This window comes from Homo sapiens, chromosome X, assembly GCF_000001405.40.
Source record: "Homo sapiens chromosome X, GRCh38.p14 Primary Assembly".
NCBI classification, from domain to species: Eukaryota; Metazoa; Chordata; class Mammalia; order Primates; family Hominidae; genus Homo; species Homo sapiens.
In genome coordinates this window covers 126158531-126169067 of record NC_000023.11, presented here as the reverse complement: position 1 = coordinate 126169067, position 10537 = coordinate 126158531, and the positions used below count along the sequence as shown (strand labels likewise).

General features: G+C 42.5%; 1 protein-coding gene across 1 annotated transcript, besides 1 other annotated feature; it reads left to right on the top strand.

Annotated features, from left to right (window-relative positions):
- On the top strand, window positions 2779–5569 carry DCAF12L2 (DDB1 and CUL4 associated factor 12 like 2). Its single transcript, NM_001013628.3, has one exon. The coding sequence runs from the start codon at window positions 3144–3146 to the stop codon at window positions 4533–4535; it is 1392 nt and encodes a 463-aa protein (NP_001013650.1). The 5' UTR covers window positions 2779–3143; the 3' UTR covers window positions 4536–5569.
- Window positions 3357–3857: an enhancer, noted in NCBI's record as "H3K27ac-H3K4me1 hESC enhancer chrX:125299194-125299694 (GRCh37/hg19 assembly coordinates)". NCBI's record gives its function as "activates a minimal SCP1, AML or CMV promoter by ChIP-STARR-seq in primed H9 embryonic stem cells {active_cell/tissue: H9 hESC(primed)}" and the evidence as "EXISTENCE:reporter gene assay evidence [ECO:0000049][PMID:30033119]".

Here is a 10537-nt window from a genome sequence, read left to right as displayed (position 1 = left end):
AAAAAACTTGTGAATACATATTACTGCACCTCATAAGTATTAATTAAAAGAAATGTGTAAAAAATAGGTCCCAGAGATGATATATTTGCCTTTAAATATCATATGGACAATGTTGTACATCATTTGCATTCAGTATTTATTTATTTATCACTTCCGGTTATCTTTAAGAAGCACAGAAGACATTGCGTATAAAATTTCAACAATAGAGGTAGTTTACATGGTTTTTAAGAGAAGGAAACAAAAAAAGTTTGTTGAATAATATAAAGTAGTCTTAAGTTATGAAAGTATTAGAGTCACACAGAGATTCACATCTTGACTTTATCACTTACTAGCTGTGTGACAATGGGGGAGTCACTACCTTTACTGAGCCTCAATTTCCCTCATTTTAAAACAGGGCAATAAAAATAGAACCTACCTTATAAAGTTATTGTGATGCCAAATGTACATAAAGTATTTAGCATTTGAAGCATTTAACACATCCCTCCAGCCCATGATATGAATAAGTTTTCAATAGATAATAGCTGTTATAAGCATTATTTACTTTTACAAATGTGGTATTTATGCACAATGTAATACTACTCAACCATAAAAGAAAGAAATCATGTCATTTGCAGCAACATGGATGAAACTGTAAATCATTATCTGAAGTGAAATAAGCTAGGCACAAAAAGACAAATATTCCATATTTTCACTTATATATGGGAGCTAAAAAATGTGATCATATGCAGGTAGAAAGTGGAAAGATAGATAATGGAAACTGGGAAGGGTAGTGGGGAGAGGGGAGGATGAAGAGAAAGGGTTAAAGGGTACAGGCATACAATAAGACTGAAGGAATAAACTCAATGTTGGATAGCAGGAAAGGGTGACTATACTTAACAGAAATGTATTGTACACTGGTGATGGACACCCTAAATACTCTGACCTGATCGCTAGGCATATATACATGTAACAAAATTCCTCATGTACTCCATATATTTGCACAAATTAAAAAAAGTTTATGTGGAGAAAAACCCATATATACATACACATATATATGTAATATATATAAACCATATATATACACACATACATATTTCAGCCAATTTGTTATACATATGTTATATATGACCAACTAGTCTGATAATAGCCTAAGATTTTGAGCCTATTTTATTTACCGCAACAGTAAAAAATATGCCATGAAGTCTTATATAATATCAAGTTTTCTAAGTCAAGATTTTTTAGAAAAGAAAAGAAAGCCTTAAGATAGGTTAGGTTAAAGAAATTTGTGATCAGTTTTTCTCTAGTAATGTCACTTCCAATTATGAAATCGTCAGCATTTTTTTCATTGTCAGATTACTCCCAATCCGTCACCCTCACCCTCCTCTTGATACAGCACTAAACATGGGTAGGAATATTGAGGCAGAGAAGGGGAGGATGGGCACTAAGGTGCAACAGTTGGACTGGAGTGATGTGAAGGATCCATGGTGCACTTGGAGTTTCTGGGTTTGAGATAAGTTTGTAAAAAGAGCAGGGAGAATTGGGGGGAAACAGCAACAAAGTATTTTCATGATCTCTGATCAAGGACAGTTAACTCACCACCTGACTTCTGCAAACACGCTTAACAAAGACTTTTTTTGTGGAGGACGATTGGGGCCTGTGCAGACCTGGTATCAGCCACCAGCATTTCAGTGCAAGGTATTACTGTGGAATTGGGGGCTTGCTTTAGGATTGACTGCCCTAAAGCTTTAGAGCAGGTGTGGATCATGTAACTTCTCAGACTGCCAAACTCATGCTTTGAATATCCACACTCTCACCATTTTGCCATTTAGTCACTTTGCAAAGTTCTTTATCATCTGTGCCTGTGGAAATCCTGTGCATTCCTCTGAGTACTGTACCAATGCCCAAGGGGGCCCCCACACCAAGAGAGGGCTCTGCCAAGATTCCTATGACTGAAAGTTTGGGCTGACCTTTCCGTCCCAGGAGAGAGAGGGAGGTACCCCTCTCCTGGACCTCTTCCCCTTCACTCCACCCGCCCTGGGCTGAGTTCGAAAGAACTCAATGCCTTACAGAAAAACCCTTCTCTTCACCCCTCACCCCCATGTCTCCACCCCTATCATCACTGCAGCCCTGGATGCTCCTGAGGCTGCTTTCTGACTAAAGGGTCCCTGATACCACCCGGGTGGAAAGCAGGGCCTAGGGAACTGCATTTGGAACGCAGTTCAAATGCTCAGGGATTCAGGTGCTCAAAGACTTCAGTTTGAGAAGGGGAAAAAAATTATTTGGTGGAAACTGTTTAAGACATCAACCCAGGAGCTGAAACTGGAGAAGCTGCAGGTCTGACACGAGGGTAGAGGTCTCCCTGACGCTGCTGAACCCCACACCCCCCCACCCCCGCACCCGATCCCTTGCCAAATTCAATGTATAATCTAAGCGAAGGGTGTCCCAAGATTACACCAAGCGCACACTGGTTTCTCCAGGCAGACCGTGGCTCGGCCTCCTTCTAGCCCCGTGCTTGATTATATCTTAGGTTTCAGATTTTACTGAAGTACGGATTTTAAGAAGGGTAGTTAGCTGTTGTCCTGAGGGTAGCGAAACAACGCATGTCTGATACTGGGGACCTAGGGTGCTGGCCCTCCGCGACTCTGCCCCTGCAGCTCCGCTACCCCCTTCTCCCCTCCGCCCCCTTCCAGCCTCCACCCCGCGCGGCCTCCGCTACCCGGCAGGCACCCCACGCCAGCCCAGCAGCTCCTCCCACTGCCTCCGCCCTTCACACTCGGGCCCCAGCGTCGTCCTCCCCCCACACTGACTTCGCTCCCGCAGCCATCCAGACAGACACTCTTCCCGCTCTCGCCTAGGTCTGCACCGCCACTGCCGCCCTTGCCGCCGCGCTTCGCCCCGGCTCTGCTACGTCAGGCCGCGCATCTCTGGCCAGGACGACCGCTGCCGCCGCCGCCGCCGCCGAGCCTCAGACTGAAGTCTGGGCGCCCGCGATCGCACCAGCTTCTTGGTCTTAGAGATCCTGAGCTCTCGGCTGACGCGGAAGCGCAGCCATCCCCACCACCGCCGCCACGGCCAACACGGGTGCCACGCGCCGCCACCGCCGCCGGGCCGCCGCCGCCGCCGCCGCCGCCGCCGCCGCTGCTGCAGATCGCCCGCCGCCCACCATGGCCCAGCAGCAAACAGGTAGCAGGAAACGGAAAGCGCCCGCGGTCGAGGCGGGAGCCGGGAGCTCGTCGTCGCAGGGTTTAGCGGCGGCGGACGGAGAGGGGCCTCTGCTACCCAAGAAGCAGAAGCGGCCGGCGACGCGTCGCAGGCTGGTGCACTATCTGAAGGGCCGGGAGGTAGGAGCGCGGGGCCCAGCCGGGCTCCAGGGCTTCGAGGGCGAGCTGCGGGGCTACGCCGTCCAGAGGCTGCCCGAGCTGCTGACGGAGCGCCAGCTGGACCTGGGCACCCTCAACAAGGTGTTCGCGTCACAGTGGCTGAACGCCAGGCAGGTGGTGTGCGGCACCAAGTGTAATACGCTGTTTGTGGTGGACGTGCAGTCAGGCCACATCACGCGCATCCCCCTCATGCGGGACAAGGAGGCCGGGCTGGCCCAGGCCCACCAGGGCTGCGGCATCCATGCCATCGAGCTGAATCCCTCCAAGACGCTTCTGGCCACCGGCGGCGAAAACCCCAACAGCCTGGCCATCTACCAGCTGCCCACCCTGGACCCCCTGTGCCTGGGCGACCGCCATGGCCACAAGGACTGGATCTTCGCAGTCGCCTGGCTGAGTGACACCGTAGCTGTGAGCGGCTCCCGCGACGGCACCGTGGCTCTGTGGCGGATGGACCCAGACATGTTTAATGGCAGCATTGCCTGGCACAGCGAGGTGGGTCTCCCAGTATATGCCCACATCCGTCCGAGGGATGTGGAGGCCATCCCCAGGGCCAGCACCAACCCCAGCAACCGCAAGGTACGGGCCCTGGCCTTCAGCGGCAAGAACCAGGAGCTGGGAGCGGTGTCCTTGGACGGCTACTTCCACCTGTGGAAAGCCCGGAGCACACTATCCAGGCTCCTGTCCATCAGGCTGCCCTACTGCCGAGAGAATGTGTGCCTGACCTACTGTGATGAGTTGTCCCTGTACGCTGTGGGCTCTCAGTCCCACGTCTCCTTCCTGGATCCGCGCCAGCGCCAGCAGAACATCCGGCCCCTGTGCTCTCGAGAGGGTGGCACAGGCGTGCGGTCGCTGAGCTTCTACCAGCACATCATCACTGTGGGCACCGGCCATGGTTCCCTGCTCTTCTATGACATCCGCGCCCAGAAGTTCCTGGAGGAGAGGGCCTCTTCCAGCCTGGACTCCATGCCGGGGCCCGCAGGGAGGAAGCTCAAGCTTGCCTGCGGCAGAGGCTGGCTCAACCAAGATGACGTCTGGGTGAACTACTTTGGTGGCATGGGAGAGTTCCCCAATGCGCTCTACACCCACTGCTACAACTGGCCGGAGATGAAGCTCTTTGTGGCTGGGGGGCCTCTCCCTTCAGGCCTCCATGGGAACTACGCAGGCCTCTGGAGTTAAGGATGGACGCCTTGTTCTCAAAGTGCACAGGTTTACCTTTCAGTTCCGCCTGACTTTCCTTCTTCATGCTGCATTTGTGCTTTTAACTTTGTGTGGCTTTTGTCTTCCAGGTGGAACCAGTCCAACTTACGTGTGCTTAATGTATTAGGCAGAGAAAGAAAGAGAGAGAGCGGGAGCGAGAGAGCACAAGTGGTCCTTTCGGCAGTCAAAACTTTGGCTTTAAAACTCTCATTCACGTTTCCCAACAGCAGTATATTTTTGCCTTCTCATTCAAAGAGTTTTGGCTAAACCTTAATTGTGTTCTGTCTTTCAGTGATTCACATACCCTCCTTCTTTAGGTTGATGTAGTCATAGTCTTCACTACTATTCAGTACGTTAGTTTTATCAATATTGCAATAGTGTTCAGATCTTTTACACATGTTAGATGTGTGGTGTTTTGGGGAAATGTGAGCTACAAAGCATCTTTGGGGTTGTTTTGAGGAACTACCCATCATTTATAGCCTTACTCTAATTACAAAATGCAGTTCAGGTTCTAGATTGCCACCATTCTAGAGTGTGGCACACACCATTCTAGGGCGTGATTCATTTGGATGTTGGAAACTCAATGTCTGTTGTTTGTATAGTGTTGATGTGTAAAATGCTTTAAAAATATGTTCTGTTAGTTAGAAATCTTACAATGTTGTTCATACTATTAATCAACATTTTTGGTTATTCAGTAAAACTTTACTATCCTCAGGCCCTCCGTGTTCTTATTTAAAGCCGCTGTATTATGGCCTGCTTTTCTATGCTACAGATTTTCAGAACTACTCAATTCTGGTCTATATATGTGGTAGTGCAATCAGGGAGGTATTTTTGGGGGTATATGGGGTACACATCTCTTTAAATTCAGGTAGCTATTTACAGTGAAAAGCCAGTTGTGGCAGTTGTGCTCAGAGTAGGTGTTGATTTTTTATTACTGTATACATGGATAATTCTGGATCCAGTATGTGATGTGTTGCAGAAAAATAAATAAAATGTGTTCATCATCTTAGCAATTAAGTGGCAGACTTAAGTTCTTAATACTTAAATATATGCTTTCTTTTTTCATTTGTCTTTCTGAGAACGTATTTATCAAAGTCAAAACTTTCCAGGACAGAAGCTGAATCTGAAGCATTAGCTATGCAGACATTACTTTGTACATCTCTTTTTGAAAATGAAACTTATAAGTTAAAAGATTAAACAACATCTTGAATACGTTATGAAAATATACTTGGTGTAAGTTAGGATGGCTAAGTGTTTTTTAAAGTTGACTGAACAAACCATTTTTCATTTATACAAATATACATGTACTTATAACTACTTACATATATAATATATTTGTATATCTGTTTGTATATGTTACTTCCCATGTGAGAAGAAAGCATAGATATATATCATTTTATATGTGCAGCTATTTCTTATATATTGAACTACACATATTAAGACTTACCACTTGGTCTTTATTTGTGTTTTGTTTTATGCCAATTTAAAATAATTTTAATACAAGCACATGATCAAAAAACCATACAGTATAAAAAGTATACAGTTAAAAGTAAATCTCAAACCCCGGGGTCTCTAGTTTCCAGCCCATAGATTAGCACTAGTATATTTTTTGCATATACATATTTAGATTTAGTCTATATATATACAAGAACACATGTATGTGTGTATGGAATTTTTATACAAATAATAACATACTGTATGTATCTGTGCCTTTTTAATCACAAAATCTTAGTGATTTTTTCTTATACTTATCTACTTAATTTTATTGCATGCTGTTCTATTGTGTGATTGGAATACACTTGACTTATTCATTACACCTTTGATGATCATTTATGTTGGTTCTGGTTTTCTGTTACTGTAAACTATTCTGCAGTGATTACTTAAGTGTATACATCTTTGTGTACAAGCATAAATATATCTGCAGGATAATTCCGAGAAATGAAATTACTGGTTCAATGAGTAAGTTCATTTTATATTAATAGCCATTGCTAAATCATCTTCCAAGGAGTTCTCACCACCTTAACCTCCTACAAGTAATGGATGCACACCTGCTTTACCACACCCATGCCAACAGTGTGTCACCAAACTGTGCTCTTTGCCAATCTTACATCTACTTGATCTTGATCCTTTCTTTCTAAGCCACTGTGGCTGAGTTAATTCAATTTGTTGTCAGAGTACCAAGTGGGTTCTGAAACAAAGAACAAGAAAATGAAGGCAAGCAGTAAAAATGCTGCCACGCTAAAGGAAGAGAGTACCCACCATTCAGGCTCATGTACCTGGAAATGGATTACACACAGCTACTTTCCTTATATACTTAGCTGGACCTAGTAGGTTTCCCTGGTCTGTTGCACCCAGTTTAAGTTATACCCAACGTATGAGATGTCACTGAAGAAAATCCAAGAAGGAGACCACGAAAATCTGAACTAGGATAGTGGGGTAAGTGTGGAGAGGGAGAAAGTTATTCAAAACAATGAGGGGAAATAAAAGGAACAAACAGTATTTCATGTGAAAGATGAGGAAAACCAAAAAAATTAGGTGGACTCTCAGGCTCTGACTTGAATGTGAATGAATATTGACAGCAAATAAAAATAAAGAAAATAGGCATAGATAGTATGGGGGAGGATGATCAGTTTAACTTGGGACTTACTGAATTTGAGGTGCCTCTGTGACATCAGGAGAACATACCCAGTGAAGAATTGGCTGTGTACCCCAGGATGCAATTTCTCACTTCTGGGAAGGTGAGTGCTATGAAACACTGGAAATCTTGTCCTTTCAGGGGAAAGTAGAAGAGAAAAGCATATGAAGGATCTTTAAAACAATGAAAAGAGAGAAAGCCTGCCTCAGTGGCTCACACCTGTAATCCTAGCACTTTGGGAGGCTAAGGTAGGCAGATTGCTCGAGCCCGGGAGTTCCAGAGCAAGATGGGGAAAATGGTGAAACCTCATCTCTACATAAAATACAAAATTTGGCCGGGTGTAGTGGTACGCGCCTGTAGTTTCAGCTCCTCGGGAGGCTGAAGTGGGAGGATCACTTGAGCCCAGGAGGTTAAAGTTGCAGTGAGTAGAGATCATGCCACTGCACCCCAGCCTGGGTGACAGAGTGAGACCCTGTCTCAATAAATAAATAAACAAACAAATAAGTAAATAAAAGGAAATTTAAAAAAAAAGCTGGGATGGGGAAGAAAATGGTAGAGAATGATAGAGGCTTATTCTACACAAATTTTGTGACCTTAGCGTGAGACAACAATATATCTTTTAATACTAAAATTATAACGATTTTGAGTCTCCACCTAAAAGCCGTAAAGGACAGCTTTTCTCCCAGATAATCTTCCTAAATATTTACCTACGACTCCTTAAGACTGTCCACATTGGTCCACTAATTAGGCTTTTGAATTGCTCAACTGCTGGTTTTATCTTGGAGAATGAAAAGTCAGACCTAGCTCACAAAGCAGGGCTTCAGAGTTAATTATTTCTGGACCACTTATTCTCCTGTTCTGAGACATATCCAGTATTCCCAACACCCAGCTGGCACCAGCATCCTTGACAGTCTCACAGCAGTGGAATATCACCTCATCAGCAGCTGCTGCGAGCCCCTGTTTAAGTTCTCACTTCAATACCACAAGTGTAGGTCTCTGCCAACTTTCCCAGTCTTGCAAAAAGCAAAGGAGGTGTCCAGAGGAGGATACTGCTTTCCACAGGATTACAATAAAAGAGCACAAATGCAAATTATTAGAAGTGAGAGAGAAGAAATAATTACAAGCACAGATTTATTAGACAGGTAAATGTAAAATCTGAGTGAAATAACTCATCAGAAAATATAAATAACTAAACTTCCAAATAAGAAATAAGGAACCAGATCAGACCATTAACTCTAGAAATGTGAATATTAGTTTTTTAAAGTCTATCTTTTTAATCCAAGAATATCACGCACATAAACAGATAAGAGACACACAGATTTGATCATTTTATAAGTAAATTATTTCACATTGTCAAGGAATATCTAAGTGTGAGGTGCCTCCGAGCATAAAGAGAAAATAATTTACCCTTCTTTATAGTAGGCCAGCAAAATATTAACAAATTTGAGTAAAATTGCAGAAAATAAAAAGGGACTGATTTGACACACATGTATAAATCAATGCAACTTATCCTTTAAAAACACTGAAGGTAATCCATTAGTTCACCAAATCCATTAGTTCACCAAATTAGTCCATCAAATTCATTAGTTCACAAAATACTATGACAAAGTAAAGCTAGTTCCTTGAATTCAAGGAGTCTTCACTATTGAAAAATCTATTATTTCCATGTATTATAATAAATCAAATGAGAAGACACACATGCTCATATCACTAAATTATAATAAATGATTTAATAAAAGTCTTCTATTGTTTTGGTAAAATTCTTAGTAAACTATGTGGGAAAACATTCTTCATATGGTAAGTGTGTGTATGTGTGCATTTGTGTGTGTGTGTTTTGTGTTTCAAACTTCAACCAGAATCCTTAACATCAAAGAAACTCCTGTGAAGGTAAGAAACAAACAAGGACTCCTAAAATCACCGCCAGTATTTAATGTTGTTATAAATTTCCAGATACAGCAATTAGAAAAAGTAGAAAATATTAGATATAAATATTAGAAAATAGAAAACAGTTATATTTATTTGAAGATGAAAGATGATGGCAAAAATGATAAATTCTAGAAGAAGCAACTGGAAAAGGTTAGGAAAAATAAAATAGTAGTACAATGTTCAGTTTTGAGATTAATATATTAAAAAATCAATGCTTTTCTATTTTCACTTCTTTGCTCATTCAGCAAATATTTATTGAATGCTTACCATATATCACGCATTATTCTAGCTGCTAGATAAAAATGCTGCATCGACCAACACAAGCAAGCCATGTCCTCATAAGGCTTACAGTCCATTGAGGAGAGGGACAATAAACAGATAAACCAACAAGTATATAGGATGTAAGATGGTTATCAATGTTAATAAATAAATCAGTCGAAAGAGAATAGGGGGTAGAAAATCAGGGGGAGATGAAATTTTAAATAAAGTGGTTAGTGAAAGTCTGTTTAATAAGTTGACATTTGAGCCGAGATCAAGTGACATAGTAAGCCATGCACCTACATCAGAAAAGAGCGTTCCAGGTGATCAGAAAGAAGTGCGGAGGCCTGAGGTGGAATCATGCTTAGCATGTTTCAGGAGCAGAAAGGAGATAAGTATGGCTGGAATAAAATGAATAAAGAAAGGAGTAGGGTCAGAGAGATAATGGGTGACCACATCATATAGAGCTCTGTAGACAGTTATAAGAACCTTGGATTTTAATCTGAATGAGTTGAAAGTCCAATGAGGGTTTTTGAGAAGCAATTTATTGTTAAAAGGAAATCTGGTTGCTCTGTAGATATCATACTGTAGACTGTAGAGGAGAAAAGACAGAGAAAGAGCGGGGTTCATTAGTAGGTTACTGCAATAATCCAGCTCAAAGGTGACAGTGGCTATATGCAAAACTAGTCAGTTTAAAATGTCCGTGGATCTTGTAGTTCAAAATGGCAGACATCTCCTTCTTACAATCTTATGGAAATGACAGTACAGAATAATTAAATTGAAAAACTCCATTTCAGTGCTATAAATAAGAAAAAGTGCCATAATCAGATCAGAAATTATGACAACATTCTAGAAAACCAGAAAGTAGATAGGATCTCTTTGACAGATAAAGCTGAGTAGATCTCATTCCTTTTTATGGTTTCATAGTATTCCATAGTGTACATGTACTACATTTTATTTATTCAGTCTACCATTGATGGACATTCAAACTGATTCCATGTCTTTACTATTGTGAATAGTGCTGCAATGAACATATGCATTCATGTGTCTTTATGATAGAACAACTTATATTCGTTTGGCTAAATACCCAGTAGTGGAATTGCTAGATCTAAATAATGAAGACCCATGGACAAAAAGAGAGGAACAACAGACACTGAGGTCT

Coding starts and splice junctions, on each gene's coding strand:
- DCAF12L2 (NM_001013628.3), top strand. CDS start 3,144: ATGGCCCAGCAGCAAACAGGTAGCAGGAAACGGAAAGCGCCCGCGGTC.